The sequence below is a fragment of the Homo sapiens genome, chromosome 17, assembly GCF_000001405.40.
Source record: "Homo sapiens chromosome 17, GRCh38.p14 Primary Assembly".
Classification (NCBI taxonomy): Eukaryota; Metazoa; Chordata; class Mammalia; order Primates; family Hominidae; genus Homo; species Homo sapiens.
Window position 1 is genome coordinate 71,545,679 of NC_000017.11, and position 17,785 is coordinate 71,563,463.

General features: G+C 40.1%; 6 annotated features.

Moving 5' to 3' along the window:
* Window positions 1-17,698: part of a sequence comparison, noted in NCBI's record as "sequence_comparison; minimal region of overlap from various 46,XX DSD and 46,XY DSD CNVs; the exact 5' and 3' borders have not been mapped, this range is defined by the b1-b16 subfragment span", that runs on past the window's edge. NCBI's record gives its function as "important for gonad or genitalia development {active_cell/tissue: ovary | testis}" and the evidence as "EXISTENCE:sequence alignment evidence [ECO:0000200][PMID:30552336, PMID:28317102]".
* Window positions 340-893: an enhancer, noted in NCBI's record as "SR4 fragment used in reporter and transgene constructs". NCBI's record gives its function as "activates an SV40 promoter in TM4 Sertoli testicular and KGN granulosa ovarian cells, or an E1b minimal promoter in TM4 cells, or a Hsp70 promoter in genital tubercle and various other tissues of transgenic mice {active_cell/tissue: TM4 | KGN | genital tubercle | neural tube | eye | whisker follicles | anterior stomach mesenchyme | cranial base mesenchyme | proximal tongue | mammary placode | incisor placode}" and the evidence as "EXISTENCE:reporter gene assay evidence [ECO:0000049][PMID:27989796]" and "EXISTENCE:transgenic organism evidence [ECO:0001131][PMID:27989796]".
* Window positions 1,262-3,214: an enhancer, noted in NCBI's record as "b8 fragment used in the reporter construct". NCBI's record gives its function as "activates a beta-globin minimal promoter in COS-7 monkey kidney cells cotransfected with SF1 and SOX9 {active_cell/tissue: COS-7(+SF1 and SOX9)}" and the evidence as "EXISTENCE:reporter gene assay evidence [ECO:0000049][PMID:30552336]".
* Window positions 2,734-4,867: an enhancer, noted in NCBI's record as "b9 fragment used in the reporter construct". NCBI's record gives its function as "activates a beta-globin minimal promoter in COS-7 monkey kidney cells cotransfected with SF1 and SOX9 {active_cell/tissue: COS-7(+SF1 and SOX9)}" and the evidence as "EXISTENCE:reporter gene assay evidence [ECO:0000049][PMID:30552336]".
* Window positions 2,821-3,232: an enhancer, noted in NCBI's record as "eSR-B fragment used in reporter constructs". NCBI's record gives its function as "activates a beta-globin minimal promoter in COS-7 monkey kidney cells, HEK293T human embryonic kidney cells, and TM3 Leydig and TM4 Sertoli testicular cells cotransfected with SOX9 alone or with both SF1 and SOX9, or in ovaries and testes of transgenic mice embryos, and synergizes with the eSR-A and eALDI enhancers in COS-7 cells cotransfected with SOX9 and SF1 {active_cell/tissue: COS-7(+SOX9 or +SF1 and SOX9) | HEK293T(+SOX9 or +SF1 and SOX9) | TM3(+SOX9 or +SF1 and SOX9) | TM4(+SOX9 or +SF1 and SOX9) | ovary(E12.5-E14.5) | testis(E12.5-E13.5)}" and the evidence as "EXISTENCE:reporter gene assay evidence [ECO:0000049][PMID:30552336]" and "EXISTENCE:transgenic organism evidence [ECO:0001131][PMID:30552336]".
* Window positions 2,964-2,968: a transcriptional cis regulatory region, noted in NCBI's record as "SOX9 motif bases deleted in the eSR-B deltaSOX9 reporter construct". NCBI's record gives its function as "important for eSR-B enhancer activity in COS-7 monkey kidney cells cotransfected with SOX9 {active_cell/tissue: COS-7(+SOX9)}" and the evidence as "EXISTENCE:site-directed mutagenesis evidence [ECO:0005528][PMID:30552336]".

Consider the following 17,785-nt stretch of genomic DNA (forward strand, 5'->3'; position numbering starts at 1 on the left):
AGATAGGGGACAGGGCAGGGAAGGCAGCAGTTTCCCTGGGTGGCCCCAAGGGTTGGGAGCCCCCAGGTCAAGTGGCTGGTAGATTGTAATGACTTGCTTGGAATCATCTTGCCTACACCATCTGGTAGGCCCATTGTACCAGCAAGAAAGTGAAAGTTGTGATAACTACTGAGTTGGCAAATACAGCTTGACTTAGGCGAGAGTCCTTCTGTTCTTATTCAGAAACTCCATAAAAGACAGATTAGGTCGGATAGCAAACCGGACAGCTAAAAATATATAGAGGTAGACAAGCAGTTCTATAGATCCTGGGCGGGGAGTGAGGAGAAAGTCCCCTGATCATTTGTGACTCAACCCTTGGACCTTCCTGAAATGTAGGAAACAGCAGTTCATGTAAATTCTATAAATAGTTGTATAAGCAAAGTTTTTCTTCTGATGCAGAAAAAAATTAAAACATTCTCTGGAGAAAACATGATCTTTTCTCCATGTTTTAGTTGTCAGTTTTGACAAGAACGATACAAGCTAATTAAATTTCTGTTAATTTATTTTGTCTGATTCAGTGACTGCCTGTCACACAAATCCCTCAATAAGTAAGATTTCTCTCTGCTATAAACTTTCTCCTCTTTCTCTGAAATGCCATTAGATAAACGCACGAAAAGTGGACCTATTTTACTCAAATAAACACTAAAAGCACTTAAACTCAATCCGCCCTCAATACTTCAACTCCTCATGTCTGCTTTGGAGGGAACCTAACTCTTTCCAGCTTATAAATCTCCAATTGAGACCATTACCCTTTATGAAAGAAATGTCTTTATGTAGATAAAATGCAAAGATGAAGTTGAGAATTGATGGCAGATGAAACAGAGGAATATGTCGCATTCCTATTTGCCTTGACATTCACAAGGAGTATTTTCTCATATTATTCCTCTTTGAAATAAAATTTGAGATTGACACTGCGTCATCTCTTCAATCTTAGTTATCTAGAGTGACTGAAGTCTTTATCTACTTGTCAAGAGTGATAAGATGAAGTTGCATTATCATACATGAACAGAGCTTGATGTTTGAATAGATATCAACATACTTGACAATAGTGGTTGTCTATTTAAATTTTCTTTTCTGCACCATTTTCATTGAAGGCTCAATCCTTCCTCATTTTTTGAGACTTAGCCCAAACGTCACCTCTACTACAAATTCTGCTCTGTCTTCACCCTACTCCTATTGTCATGATCACCCTAGACGAACATTTTCTGTGTTAGGTCATTTGTGCATCTCTATAAGGAAGTACCTGAGGCTGGGTAATTTATAGAGAAAAGAGATTTAATTGACTCATGATTCTGCAGGCTGTACCAGTATGGTTCCAGCCTCTCCTTCTGGTGAAGGTCTCAGGAACCTTACGATCATGGCGGAAGGTGAAGGGGGAGCAGGCACATTACATGGTGACAGCAGGGGCAAGAGAGAAGAGGGAAAGGTGCCATACATTTAAACACCCAGATTTCACAAGAATTCATTGACAATTGTGAGGACAGCACCAGGTCATTCATGAGAGCTCTGCACCCATGAGCAAAACACCTCCCACCAGGCCCCACCTCCAACACTGGGGCTTTCATTTCAACATGAGATTTGGAAAGGACAAACATCCAAACTGTATCAACATTGTACTTAGCTTTTATCAGTCTGCATGGTATTTTTTGTTTGTCTGCATGTCTGTTAGGTTACTATAACCTCTTGGAAGTATGTCCTGAAATCCCTCACTGAGAGGATAAGGAGAACAAAAGAAGGGGCAGGAAGTAGAGCAAAGAGAGGAGACACGTAGGAAGAAAGATGGAAGGGAGAGAAGGGATCTTTTTCCTAATGTAGCTGCTGGTCTATCCTTTAGACAAGAGAAAATCTCACATTGATGTGTTCTTGGCTTCCTGGGGCTCATACATCATTTTGTTCATGTTCATTATCACTAAGCACAACACTCATATTTTAGCTGTATGTATTCACAAGACCTTACTCAGAGTGGACAATATTCAGAATCAACCTTTAGAATCTCAACAGAGTTTTATATTGGGTTTGGTTTCTTTTGCTGTTCTTTTGTATATTCAAAGCAAAAATTATTGATTATACATATGTTGATATGCTAATATTGATAATGATATCTAATACACCGAACACTTGTTTGTTCCAAGCACTTTGCCTGTACAAACTGACTTAATCGTCAGAACAACCTTGTGGATAGGTACTATTGTCATCCCCATTTTAGGGGTGAGAAAACTGAAGAAGAAAGATCTAAAATAAATTACCTGTGGTCATAAAATTAGTAAGTGGCAAAGCCCAGATTTAAACCAGAGGAGAAAGAGCCCATGCTCTGAACAGCCTAGTGACCAATTGCATGACTATTAGAAGTGCCTTCAATAGAGTCAGTCAACAAGCATTTTATTTGCTGACATTTGATAAATCAGTTTTGTGTTGAATGTATGGACATGGCTCAAAGTAAAATTTCAACAATTGATCCTCTAAGCACTCTCCTTTCTGTGCTCTCACAATAGAAATATTCTTTTGTCAACCTTATAGTTTTTGGTGGACATCTGTGCCTTTTTTTTAAGACTCTAAGCCTCATGGGAATTTATTCATGATCACATACTTCACAACTGTTTTTGCTGAATAAAATAAAATGGCTTAAGATAGAGTTAAATGCTCCTTTCTCCCTACTGCTCATCAGAAATACAACTATTAACTCCTATATGCATTTGTCTGATTCTATCCCATATTCAGGGATTTAATATAAACTTTAAGTTTTATCATTACTACAGACCTCTTTTTGAATTTCATATAGGGTTGAAAACTTTGTGATGAGTTTTCTTGGTTTTTGGAAATGCCTTTAAAAAAACTGGATTGAGAATTTTAATCGAGGGAGGCAAGCAGGGGCCATGATGCCCAGACTACCAATTGAATTCCTTAGAAACAGTTAAGAATTTCCTTTGTTTGGCATTAGTCATTTTGAAGGAACTTCACATTCAAAGAACCTTTTAATACCAGCACAGGAGTCTTGTTATGTTGTCTTGCATAATGTGGTCACTTCTGCATAAAAGCATCTGTATTTTTTAATTCTCCTTGGCAGCCGAAGATTCAGGTACGTGACTTTACACTCATAGACACTCTGGCTCATTAACTGTTCCCTCCCCCTTGCCCCCCACTTCTTTCCTCTCTTCTCTGTAACTGGAATTCACTCACAGAACATGCTGCACTCTTCCTCAACTCAAACTGAGTATCCAGGGGCAAGAAATTGAAGAGCAGTCCGTTACTAAAGAGATAGTGCCACAGATTTGCTGAGTCACCTCGTGATATGAATTGATTTTCTAGTGCTCCAGTAAGCTCAATCTCAAGTGCATACCAAGTGAAATGCATGACTATTAGGTGATGTTCCCTTTAAGTTTCTCTTATTTTATATCACTTTAAGTCTAGAGTGGTTATTGGATATTTTCTGGTTCAAGATTGGTATTCCTAAGAGTTTTGCAGTGGATAAAAAGCGGCTATGTGCATAACCATTGAATGAGCATACCTACCTCTCTAAAAGTAGATTTGGGTTACTGCATAGCTGCCATGTGACCAAAAACAGCACCAGGGAAGAGAACAAGTTGGCACATGGAAGAGGGTAGCAAACATATAGTAGATTGCCAGCCCTGCATTACTACTTGATACATGAGAAGATGGAGGTGACATCCACACCTCGCCAGAAAGGCAGTCAGTCATCTGCTCCCCTCTTCCAAAGAGGGTCAGGCCCATTACTTTATGACATACACTTCCAGAGGAACATGAATGTTAATAGCTTTCCCTATAACGAAGCTCCTTTCCAGCAGCAGAAAGTACGCAGAGGGAGGTGAGCTCTGAAATACAAGGAGGCTTCATGTAGAGTTTAGAACTAAAGTCTGTCTGATTTAAGTCACTAGGTTATCCAAATTCAGGGAAAATGACTATTACATTACACTTATAATCTTCATTTCCTCTCTGACCTTGAATATACCTTCGCGTTTTCTAAACCTGCCCAGGGAGAAGTTAATGTCCATTCCAGACCAGAAAGACCAGGGCTTTTACATGTTTTAGCCGAAAGCTAGTAATGTGGTAGCTTTGCCCAACCAGGCAGTGATTTCTGTAGTTTGATGGGAGAGGAAAAATGGCCCCGTCTCCTTGGAGAGGATGCAAGGATGAGTTCTCAGTCTGGGGACATAATGGATCATAGCCCAGGTTCACAGTCTTCTAATCCCCCCACCTGAATGGCCTTAAATGTTCAGTAAATTAGGCTCCAATGTGATTAGTCACTTCATAAGTGGCCTTTTTGGGGAAAATTTGCCAGGACAACTGTTGAGTGATGTCTCAATTTATGGCTCAAGGGGGACAAGGCATCTCTGGTAATGCCATTAAGTGGAGAAAGATGAATGTAAATGTACCATTTTCTCCTTTCAGTGGTAACTTTAAAATGTTTTTAAATATTTTTGGCCCCATCATCATGGCATTACTGCTGCCCATGGAGGAAGAGATGGGGGTTCCAAAGGAAAAGAGGAAAACACTTAAATGGAGCTCCTCAGATTTCTCCACTTTTACAGCACAAAATATTTTTTCTCCTTACTATTGCATGACGAAAAAAAAGTAATAATGTTCTGCTCTCAAAGCTTGGATTCTTCAGTTCAGGCTGTTAAAGATTTAATACACTTTCTGCAGTAAGGAATAGGAGTGAATGCCTGTACAAGTTGCAAGGCACAACCCATGATGGCATTGACAAAGCAACATCGTGGCCCTCATGTCTCTGTTTGCTGCAACAGAGCTGAGGTCTGTAGGTGCTCAAGGACACAAATCAGGGAGGGCTGCTGAGTCCTCAAGCAAGATTAAATTGTTAAGAATACCTAACGTGGGCCCGTTTTAATACCTTTCCTTTCATCTGGGCTCTTAATTCCTCACCTAGGATACAAATAAGAACTGAGCCACAGAATGTGAGGTGGGATCTAAAAATAGACTAGGCCTACTCATTCAATAATACCCTAAAGGTTATGGATTTCTGTTACAGACAAAAACAAACTTATTTCCTCACAGTGTGGGGAAGGAAGGAAGGAATGAAGGAAAGAAGGAAGGAAGGAAGGGAGAGAGGGAGGGAGGGAAGGAGGGGAAAGGGAAGGAGGGGAAAGGGAAGGAGGGGGAAGGAAAGAGAGGGGAAGGGAAGGGAAGAGTGAAGGGAAAAGAAAAAATTTGCCAAGCATGCCCAGACTAATTAGAGGAGGGCAATCGCTTCCTTGGACACACTCTGTCTAGATGTGAAATCGCAGAGTTCCTCTGGTCACTTCCATGCCTGCTTTATGGATCACAAAAATCACTCCCAATGGAGGCAGTTTTCACCTTGGTAGTGTAAGGGCCTTGGTTTGTGGAGGTTCCCAACTCCTCAGCTCCAATAACAGTGGATGGAGCCTCTTCTTTGGGTCAGGTTGGCTCCTCTTCACCAAGTGAAAGCACATCAAGTCTGCCACTGTACCCTGCCAAGTCTGACATGGTGATGATGTGCAGAATAATCGTTATGAAGGGCTCTATGTACAAGACATGCATGTAAACCATTGCCATGCCTATTTAATAATAATAATGACTATCATTTATGATTTTATTTTAAAAATGCATCACGTAACACCCATTTTAAAGACACAGTGAGGAGGATTTTTGTTGTTGTAGTAAGTCATAAAACAATGTACGTTAATAAAAGGTCCCTATGTGATGGAGAGGGTAGCTTTGTGTTTGTGAACCAGGTCTATACCTATGAGCAGTAACTTGAAGCAGGAATAAAAAACTATCTGCTGCCTTACCTAGTTCAAGAAGATCCACTTTATTTCATTGTGTGTATTTGTTTGCGTAGGTTAGGAGGGAGGGGATAGAAGATTTACAATTGCTACACCTAACACCCACATTTGTCCTTTATAAACAATCAATTATTAATGTTTAATCTAATCATCTCACCATTAAAAAACCTTTTATGATTTTGAGCTTCAAATGGTCCCTTGTTAGCGCAATTCCATAGTAACAGATTCAGGACACGTACAGTAAAGATGGAAGAAACTGGCAAGAAGGATCCGAAGCTTGGCACAGGCACAGGAAGCTGACCTGGCTAGAGGAAACAGGAGACCAGCATTTGGTGCTGGACCTGAGAAGACGGGATGCTGCAAGTGTAAGAAATGCATGCCGTGGGCTGGGCACGGTGGCTCACGCCTGTAATCCCAGCACTTTGGGAGGCCCCGGCAGGCAGATCACCTGAGGTCAGGAGTTTGAGACCAGCCTGGCCAACATGGTGAAACCCCATCTCTACTAAAAATACAAAAATTAGCTGGGCGTGGTGGTGGGCACCTGTAATCCCAGCTACTTGGGAGGCTGAGGCAGGAGAATTGCTTGAACCCAGGAGGCAGAGGTTGCAGTGAGCCGAGATTGTGCCATTGCACTCCATCCTGGGTGATAGAGCGAGACTCCATCCCCCAAAAAAAAAAAAAAAGAAAGAAAGAGAAAGAAAAAGAAACCCATGCCATGAATAAACTTCACACATTAATTAACTCAGATTTTGCCTCCTGTTATTCAGATCTTGGTCTTTCCAGATTATATAGAAAATCTGATATATTTCTCACTTGCTCCTCGCTTTCTGTGAGATGGGCAGTGAGGATATTATTATCCCATTATTCCATTTACACCAAGGAAACTGATGCAAAGTGACAGGCCCAAAGTCACACAGCTTGTAAGTCATAACGCCAGGACATAGACCCAGTGTCTGGACAGTTCAAAGATGAGTGGTTTTTTTTGTTTTTGTTTGTTTTTTAAAACAAGCAGTCCACTCTTAGAACCTTCTAGTTGATACTGCCCAAGACATCAAACTGAAATTCTTCGTTCAGAGTCCATGGTCCTTTTGGTGATGTATGCATGAGTTTCTCAGGGGACTCATGACTCCTCCTCAAAATGTCACATGAAAGTTTGTGGTAGGAGCACGTTTGCCTCCATCTGCAGGATAAGTCTTCACCCTTCACTGAACAGACTGGAATCCCACTGTATTACGATTCTGCTATAAAGAACTGCCTGAGACTGGGTAATATATAAAGAAAAGAGGTTTAATTGACTCACAGTTCAGCATGGCTGAGGAGGCCTTGGGAAACTTACAATCATGGCAGAAGGTGAAGCAGGCACCTTCTTCACAAGGCAGCAGGAAGGCGTGAGTGCAAGGAAGGGAAATGCCAGATGCTTATAAAACCATTAGATCCCATGAGACTCATGCACTATCATGAGAACAACATGGTGAAAACTACCCCCATGATCCAATCACCTCCTACTGGGTCCTTTCATCAACATGTGGGGATTATGGAGATTACAATTCAAGATGAGATTTTGGTGGGGACACAGCCAAATCATATCACCCACTGATGTTTTAGAATATGCTGGAAATGTGGGAAGATGCCGCTACGCTCAATCCCTGCCATTTTTCCACCCAAAAATTCCTAAAGAAGACTCATATGACCAGAAGAAAACAGGGCAGCACTTAGGTTTGTTCTTTGTCTATGTCAAAACAATCTCACACATGCCTCGGGAACTCAGAATCGACACTGACGCTTTCCTTTATTCCATGTATGGAAGATTACATGGATTACATGAATAGATGAGAAGGAAAGTTTGGCTTTGGTTTTTAACATAATAAGAAGTCTGCAGGGAGATGTTTTTCTCACTTAAATGTTGAATTCTTGGACAAAATGGGTATTGGACTTCACAAGAGTTTTAGAGTTTGAGACAGGTTGAGGAGGGGCAGACAGGTGAACTGAGGCAGTGGGCAAAGAGATCATTGACAGGATGCAGACGATGTTTATCTTTCAACCACCAAGGGCACACGGTGGCCAGGTCTGGCACGGGTTGGTGAGTTGCAGTTCCCCTTTTGTGCCTCTGCCAAACCTCCTTAATCTTGAGGTGTAGAACATTTGCTGCCTTAGCCCGGGCCTCGCCAGAGCTCAGCTACTGGGCAGGAATGCTTCCTTTCCTAGGTCAGGCTGTCCAGACAGGGTCCTTCAGGGGCCTGGTCTGTCTGTCAGACTCTTTTCCATCCTCAGTCACCAGGGTACAGAGTCACGAACAAAAATACTCCACTAATGCTTTGGTTTTCCTGTGACCCTGCAGTCCAGGAAAAAGGATGTCTAGCACGAAATTTTTCTGTGTTCAAGATGCAATGTGGTCTAGTGGGAACGCTTCAGGGCTGAAAATTTGGAGACTTGTCTCCAAAATCAAGCTTTAGCACTAGTTCTGTGACCCTGGGCACATAATATGAACTAGTAATTAAAGAGGAGCTCAACTGATCTAGCTGCCTGATCTTGTGAAATCTTCATATATAGAGAAAATAGAGAGATGAAATCATAAGTGAACAGAAAACTAAGAGCTAGATTTGTAGCTAGCTCTGGCACATGCACTAGATGGTCTAGAATGTATTTTGTGTCCTGACTTCACCCCTGGCTTCATCTTATCTTCCAAGCTTTATATTCCATTTCAATATGATTTTTTCCACTTTTTATATTGCTATGGCTATGTATATTTTCAAAGCTGTCTTAAATAACTTTTGAAAACATGCATAGCAGAAAGGAAGAAAAAAAAACGAAGACAGAAAAGCTAGATGCCATTCAGCAATAACTGCCATCATTTCATTATTATCTCACTGAAATCCCAGCAAATATTTTCCTTTTCTAAATATTTGTTACCTAATTCATGGCTTCTGCTGTACCCCAAATCCTACCATCATCATGAATGACAAGGACAACCCCTTTTACATTCTGGCTTCTCAAATGCTTGGTCTTTTTATCTCCATTGACCCACAATTCCTGGAATTTTTGCATCTCTGAAATTGTAAATTCAGACAGATCCTTTCTATGGACTAAACCTCTGTATATTACAGGCAAGAAAAGATGACTCAAGCTGGTTTAAACTCTGAAGGGATTTATTGGTTTATGAAATCGGAAAGCCCATAAGTATGATGGACTTAAGGTTGGATTGATTCAGTGACTCGATATGGTCTTCTTGGACTGAGTTTCTTTCCTTCTCTGCTCCCTGCTTTCCACAGTAGCATCTTCTAGGTGTCAAATCCCATCTTTTTCTGGGATTCTCCCACGATACCAGGGAGGAGAGTGCAAACCTTTCCCCAAAAACCCTCCAGAAAAGGCTGCCTTCATTGTCACCAATGCAAATTGGGTCACACTTCTGTTGTTGTTGTTGTTGTTGTTGTTGTTGTTGTTTGAGACGGAGTCTTGCTCTGTCGCCCAGGCTGGGGTGCAGTGGCACGATCTCGGCTCATTGCAAGCTCTGCCTCCCGGGTTCACACCATTCTCCTGCCTCAGCCTCCCAAGCAGCTGGGACCACAGGCGCCTGCCACCATGTCTGGCTAATTTTTTGTATTTTTAGTAGAGTCAGGGTTTCATCGTGTTAGCCAGGATGGTCTCGATCTCCTGACCTCAAGATCCGCCCGCCTCAGCCTCCCAAAGTGCTGGGATTACAGGCGTGAGCAACCGCACCCAGCCAAACTGGGTCACATTTTTACCCCAGAACTAGGAATGTTGCATCATGATTGGACTACTGTGCATTGATTAGCAGAGGTCTAAGACACCCATCTAAAGCCCTGGATCCAGGAATAGAATTCATGCTACCGACCATGTACAGGCTGCTTAAGGGAGGTGTAGATACCAAAACAAAGGCTGAGATAGTTAAAAAGAGGAGGGGAAAAAATGCTGGACAGTTCACAACAATGCCTACGCATCAGTTTCTCAACACAGTCTCCCATTCTTCTACCTCCCTCATGAAGTAACTCTAATATACTAGTTATGTGTCTTCACCAGTATCTTTAGTCTTAAGACATTCAATATGATAACCACCAGCCACATGTGCCTATTAAGGTTTAAATCAATTAAAGATAAGTAGAATTTAAAATTCCATTTCTCAATCTCACTGGACACATTTTGAGTGCTCAATAGTAACCTGTGGATAGTAGCGCCATATTCAGCGACACAGATTGACAGCATTTCTATCATTAAAGAACATTCCATTGGACATTAGTGCTCTTCCATCCACTCACCCAAGCCTGGAACCTAGGTATTACCTTGATATCTTCTCACAAAATTCTGGCCATTTTACTGTCTAAAAAGCTCCTGAATATTCTCAGTCTCTGCTACAAAAAGCTCCTGAATATTCTCAGTCTCTGCTACTCTTCATTTAGTGAAGTTTCAAATCATCTGTAACCCAGATTACTAAATTACTCTAATTTTCTCAGAATGCAGCCACAATGCCCTTTTTAAAGTGACTGTTTCCTAAGTAAAGCCATTTGTCCACTCCTCTTAGGATAAACCCTAAGATGGAAAATGACTTACAATGCTCTTCATTATCCAGATGTTTCTCAGTTTTGTAACCTCCATTTGTTCCCACTTTCCCCATGTCCTAGTTTGAATTATAGGAAGAAGCACACAGTATGGAAGTTAAGAGTGTGGATTCTGGTACCCATGACTTGGGTTCAAATCCCAGTTCTCTTTTTATTGTTTTCTTCCTCTGTAAAATTCAGGTAATAATAGTTTCTATACTAGAAGGTTCATTTGAAGACACATTGAAGTACTAGTATAATGAATGGCATACATTAGATGTCTAATAAACATTTTTCAGATTAATAAATGAACTATAATCAGGCACAGTGGCTCACTGTAATCCTAGTATGTTGGGAGGCTGAGGTGGGCAGACGGCTTGAGCCCAGGAGTTTCGAACCAACCTAGGCAACATGTCAAAACCCCATCTCTACAAAAAAATACAAAAAAAACCCCAAAAAAACAAAAAAACAAAAACTAGCTGGACATAGTGGTGTGACTGTGGTTCCAGATACTTAGGAGGATGAGGTAGAAGGATCGTCTGAGCCTGAGAGGTTGAGGCTGCAGTAAGCTGTGATCACACCACTGCACTCCAGCCTGGGCAACAGAGTGAGACCCTATCAAAAAAAAAAAAAAAAGAAAAAAAGAAAAGAAAAAAAAGAACTACAGTTTTTAAAATACAATATCCAAATAACAATGCTGTATAAGCTAAATCTCTTATGCGTTTAGTGTAATAAAGTATAGTACTGATATATGAAAAGAGCATATATTGGCCATGCTTTAGAAGGTGGTACTTTTGGGCAACAGAATATTCTAGCTCATACCAAATGAATACTGTTCATTGAACTATATTAGTTCATTTTCACACTACTGATAAAGACATACCCAAGACTGGGCAATTTACAAAAGAATGACGTTTATGAGACTTATAGTTCCACGTGGCTGGGGAGGCCTCACGATCATGGCAGAAGGTGAAAGACACATCTCACATGGAGGTAGACAAGAGAAGAGAGCGTGTGCACAAAAACTCCCATTTTTAAAACCATCAGATCCAATGAGACTCATTCACTATCATGAGAACAACACAGGAAAGACCTGTACCCCTAATTCAATCACCTCCCACTGGGTTCCTCCTACAACACTTGGAAATTGTGGGAGTTATAATTCAAGATGAGATTTGGGTGGGGACACAGCCAAACCATATCATAAAGTAAACAATACACGTACAAAAAGCCCATTTATTACAACTGAAGTAAATCTAGTATAAATGCAACACAATACAAATAATACTGTGAACAAAACATGACTCCTTCCTGATGCCTTCTTCTTAGTGGGGGGAAAAAAAGAAAATAAAATATGCAAATAAAGATGTAATAAATGTCAGAAAATAATAAGTTCCATGAAAAACAGTTTAAGACACAAGAAATTGGGGACACAAAGAGTAGTGGGTGAGCAGGGTGCTGTTGTGAACAGGCAGCTAAGGAGGAAAGCCTATTTGAGAAGGTGACACCTGAACTGGGGACCAAATGGAGGGAGCAAGCCCTGCAAATGTATGAGAGCAGAGCATTCCAGGAAGAAGGCAGAGTGTGTGCAAGCCCGAGTTAGAATGGGTTTTATTTAGGAAATCTGTGCAGCTCCATAGAAATGAGCATGGGGAGCTGTGAAAGAAGTGGGGTCAGAGGAGTCGTCAGGACTCAGATTATACGGGACTTTTTAAGTCATGGGAAAGACTGCATTTTATTCCAATTCCTGTAGAAAGTCATAGAGCTCTCTAACCATGCCTCAGGAGAAAACAACCACAACAACAGTCAACTGTTGTTTTCTGTTGCTTTTATTACTTGTTAATCAATGTTTAGCAATCCATTCAACAGTAAAGCAATTTCAGCTGAATTGACTGATCACTTCTGTGACTATTCAAACTGGTTTGTACGTGAACAACCAGAGTCTACACTTGAACTAGCTACCATAGAATGTGGATTCCAAATCAATCCACCCAGTGGAATGCACTCAGAGCATAGCATTACAATCATGCTATCTTCCTCTGAAGTTGTATTAATATTTTTCCATGGAGAAACAGTGAGTGGATTTGTCATAGCATAATTCCCCCCAGAAAAGCCACAGTGGTTTCACGAGGTGGTAAAAGGGATGAGGAACTCACATCTTTTTTGTGAATCTCAGTTTTTGTTCGATATCTTTGTTTTGTGTCAGTTAACATCACATTTTCTTCTTTGAACATATGGTGTCAATAAGGTTAACATATAAAGATGTTAAGAAATGCAAATTAAGTTTAGTACAAAAATTGAATGTCAGCTGCAGGATTTTTCTTGTAAACAAAAAATAAAATATCCCAATGAGCAACAGTGTTTGAACTCTGAATTTTTGGTAAAACTCTCTTGCTCATCATCAATGAGGAAACATACTTTTGAATAAAGATAAAGAGAACATCAGTGACATCACCTCTACAGATTTTTTTTTGTAGCCAATTTTAAGAAACTGCACAGCTCTGCACTTCTAACTTCATCATATTCCAGGTAGCCTGTGCTATAGCACTAGCTATCAAGGTAGAGAGACATAATAAAATAAAAGCAGAGCTCAACCAGTACTTAAAATTACGGATTGAGTGCCCTATTAACTTGCAGGGATTACATTATGTTTTCAAAAAGTTGTTTTGTATCTTGAGAGAAAAGAAATGCATACTAGTTTTCATGTCAATTACAGGGACTTAATTGGTTTGAAGCAAAGCATATAATTTACCAAGACACGTTGAAAGAATCACAAAGCCAACCTCAAAAGTAAGGCTGCAACTGGTACCCAGCCAACCTGGCCTTTCCTCGGCCTCTAAAAAAGAAAGAGAATTGTACTTGTAAATGTTTTTATGTATAATATTTACATTTAGATCAGAAAGGAACAAATGGGCAACTCGGCCCCAAATGTGTACAACATGTGGGCAGATGTCAGCTTATGGGGTCACTTGAATGGCATTTTATGGCCGAGGACACACGATGCAGCTTGTTTCAGTCCGTTTGAGCAGCATGTCAGTTCCATCACTCTTTGCTCTTGGGCATATGGTGAGACGTCATTAACCTGGGAGACCGACAGACCCATGAAAGTGGAACCATATGTGTTGTACCAAGGAAAAATTTATTTTGCCCACCATTCTACTGCAAATATAAATGTATAATCTCTGCCAATGATTCCTTTACATATTAAATATTATGTTAATGTGCTGGTACATGTACTTCCATTAATATAGTATTTAGGTATCCAAACTAAGCACTGGTCAGAGATAGACCCCCTGAGTTTGAACCAGGGAACTCAGAGATGAAATAATGGGGCAGATGGACCAAAGAGCCCCAGGTGCATCTTTCATCAGCATGTTTAACTAATGCAAAGCAATGAAGGCAAAGTTCTTGGTCTGTCATCACAGGGGTCATATGGACCAGGACCTTTGATACTTGACACCATCTGGAGCTACTCTTAGCTACCATTAAACGGGGCTATTTAATGAGTAGAGTTCGAATATGCTAGCTGAACTTTCACGTTATTCTTTTCTCATTTAATTTCATACAGGCTTCTATTTCCATATGCATTTATGAAAGTTATCATGGTATAATGAATTCTTCTGTTGTTACACTTGAATCTCTTTCTTTATCCTGAGTTTAATGAATTGTTTTATCTGACTGAGGTACATTTGCAGAAACTATTTAAATGCTTAAGTGTTTCTTATGAAATGTTGTACTTTGTAAGGTTTCTGAACCTTACAAATTATATTTGTGAAGATGTTTTGGGATTCTCTAGAAAGTTGGGTACTTATTTTAGGGCAGTCAGACTTTTAGGGCTGTAAGCTTGCCATATGTTGTTTGAGTGTTTGGTAATCAAGTCAGATTCACATGACATAAGATCAGAAGATCAGAGATGGCTCATTGTTTCAAATGATTCAAATGGCATCTTTTAAGTTAAGGTGAAGTCATTTAATTTCATCTGTATTTATTGATTGAATCCTTGTCTAGAAATTTTTTCCACAGGTTTTACCAAGTATTCATAATAGCAAATATCATGTGCCTCTTCTCCAAACCAAAGCTATATGAGACGCAAACGCTAAATTCAGAATGAGTTTGGAAGAAACTACAAGGGTGTTTTTGTACAAACATCATTTTTGTGTTTTTTAGATTATTTTTTATTCTAAAGGCAATGTTCTCTCCATCACACAGGAGCCACAAATTGGCCCTCCACATAAAGATTATTTAGCAAACATATGAGCTGTGTCTCAGTATAACTCTATACAATGCGTGTTCGTATATATTGATGTTTAATATTGTTTGTGTTATAGTTCAGTGGGTTATAAAATAAGGCAACAGAGCCCTCATCCATGGAAAATTTTTCTAACAACCATGAGTTCATCTTCTTTTGAAAATAACAATTTCCACGCATAATCCTAAACAGCTTTTGCTAAATTTCAAAAAATCAAATAGCTGTATATTGCTGGGATTTCATTTTCCACCCCTATAAAAAGATAAAGACTAGACACAGGAGAATGTATATTTTATGTTCCTGTTTATATGAAATATCCCAAGTAGCAAATGGCTAGAGACAGAAAGCAGATTTGTAGTTGCGTAGGGCTAAGAGTAGGGATAGAGACTGTCTATAAACAGGCATAAGGTTTCTTTTTAGGATGTTGAATATGTTCTAAAATTAGATTGGGGTAATGGTTATACAACTATGTTAATATACTAAAATTTATTAAATCGTGCAGATAAAACAGGTGAGTTTATTGTATTAAAATTATATCACAATAAAGTTGTTAAAAATTTTTAAAGATGAAGGGTAAAAGCCAGAGAATAGTTTTGAAAGTTTTCTCTCCTCTCTCAAAATATCGCATTTATAGACATATTTTTTCTGATCGACTATTTTAACACACAATTTATTTTAATATTTGAAGACACTATATTCTCTGCAATTATGTACCTTGTTTACTTTGTCTATATAAGTAATAATAATTTATTTAAGAATACATTGCTTTGCTATTGCCATGAAACAAATTACCAGCCCAGTGGCTTAAAATAAGATTAAGTTTTGATGCCTGATGCATCTATGGATCACTTAGGGGTCTGTTCATGAAAACTGTGCTCAGCTGCAGTGAATCTTCTGCCCTTGAAGCAAGTGGCATTCAAGGTAGTTCTTCCCTGGGTATTGGAAGAGTTGGAAGAGACTGGATAGAAACAGGCAAGGTAACTTAAGGCTCCACTTGGATGAGGTGCCCTGTCATATCACCTCTTTCTATTTGCCAGTGCAAGGAACATAACTGGATCCACCCTCAAGGAATGGAGAAATATACTCCACTACTCTTCTTGTGGGAGGAAGTGAAAAGTCAAATACTGAGTGGCAAGGATGCTAGATAAATTGTTGGCATCCGTGGAGTATTTCATAAGGGAAAAGGATGCAGCATAATCTAATAGTCACTAGAGTCAATATGAAGGCTTGGTTCACTTGATTCACTCTAAGACTCCAACGGACTTTTCTTCTTTTGTTGGAGAAAAAAAAAATTCCCGTTTATAAAATGGGAATAAATATCTTCACTTTTCAGTTTTCATTGCCCAGGAAGAAATCAGCAAATGTGTTACTGCTACAGAGGAGTCACTGTGCTTCCTGGCAGGGAGGAAAAGGGTGTCAGCAAAATAACAAAATAAAGAAAAAGTGTTTGTGTTTTTGGTTCACATCTTCCTTCTTGGCTAGTCATAATGCTATTATTAACCTGCTAGGTAACAGAAATTTGGATTCTTTGAGTACGAGTGCTCACAGCAGTTAGAAACCTCATTTTCCTCTTTAAAGAGTTAAAGTGTCCTGGTAAATATATCTTCTAGTCCTTTACTGTTTTCTAAAACATTGAGGTATTTCCCCAGAGTGCAAGGGAACACCAGTCCAAAAGAAATATATCGGTTAGGGTCTGCCCATTATGCAGGAGTCTAGGAACAAGAGAGGGGGCCAGGTTACATATTAATGCTTTTATTTTCTTAATATTGTGGTGATTCATGCTTCCCAGGGTGCTAGGTGCTTCCCAAGGATACAGCAGCCTTGGGCTTGAAATGGGTCATTTTCACATCACAGATCCATTTTTTCCTGATTTCTGCCTTTGTCTCCTACATTGTCCCTGTGGCATTTTCTTAATTATTTCCAGAAGTTTCATCTTCAAAAATCAGATGGCATCCATCACGCTCATCCTTTCCCGATCCCTGTTCCTGATCTGATGATGCGGCTGAAGGATCTGATGCTGGTCCATAGTGGGGCCCCTCTCTCTGCCACACGCTGCTGCCTTTCCTGGTGACTGCTGCTGCACTTCCACTCTAAGTAGTGTATTGCAGCTCCTGAAGGGCTGGCATAGTCCACTGCTCTCTGTAGCCACATCTTGCTTTATGTAAAAATGAAAGGAGGTTTTTCATCCCTTTGTGTGTAAGTGTGTTACCTGGAAACCAAAACAGTGCTACTTCTGCTTCAATTATGTGACCTATTTTCAGTGAATGATCTCTTTTGATTTTTTGCACTTCAGTTCTCTGCTTAGGATGTAAACATGTCATGAGCTCAAGATATTTTCAGTTTTAACAAATGCCAGCAAGTTATTCTTCAACGTGCCTTATCAATCCACACCCCACCAGCACTGATGAAAAAAACACTAGCACTAATGTGCCTTGACATCTGGGGTCTTAAACAACCTGATTTGGTGAAGGAGCCTCTGAGCCCAAGAGCACAAGAAGTGGGAAAGGAGAGGGTCTTAGCTCTTAGCCCTTGGAGTTTCTCTTAGCCAGTTTTCTTAGGATTCTCCAGAGGAACAGAACCAATGGGATGTGTGTACATATAGAAAGAGATTTTCTAAAAGAGATTGGCTCATGTGATTATGGCAGCTGGCATGGATATAAGGAAGAATTGCATGCTAGATGCCCAAGGCAGAGCTGAGGTTTCACATCAAGTCCTAAAGCTATCTGCTGGCAGAATTCCCTCTTGCTTGTGGGAGGTCAGTTTTTGCTCTATTTAGGCCTTCAGCTGATTGAATGAGTCCCCCTCACATTATGAAGATCAACCTGTTTTACTCAAAGTGCACCGAATCAAATGTTAATGTCATCTCAAAACCACCCTCAAAGGAACACCTGAAATGATATTTCATCAAATATATGGACACCATGATGCACTCAAGTTGATATATAAAATTGACCTTCATACCAGGTATGGCTCCAGTGAATTTCTTATGCCCATCAGGAGCAGAAGAGGAGTAGGAAAAAACACCACGACTAAAGGGGACTCATGACCTGGAGGTAGATACTCAGCAGTGACTTGAGTGGGTGGTCAACAGAGGACTAGCTAAAATGACCTTCTTCTGGACACATGCCAGCATGGATCAAGGACAATCCTCAATATCTCTCATC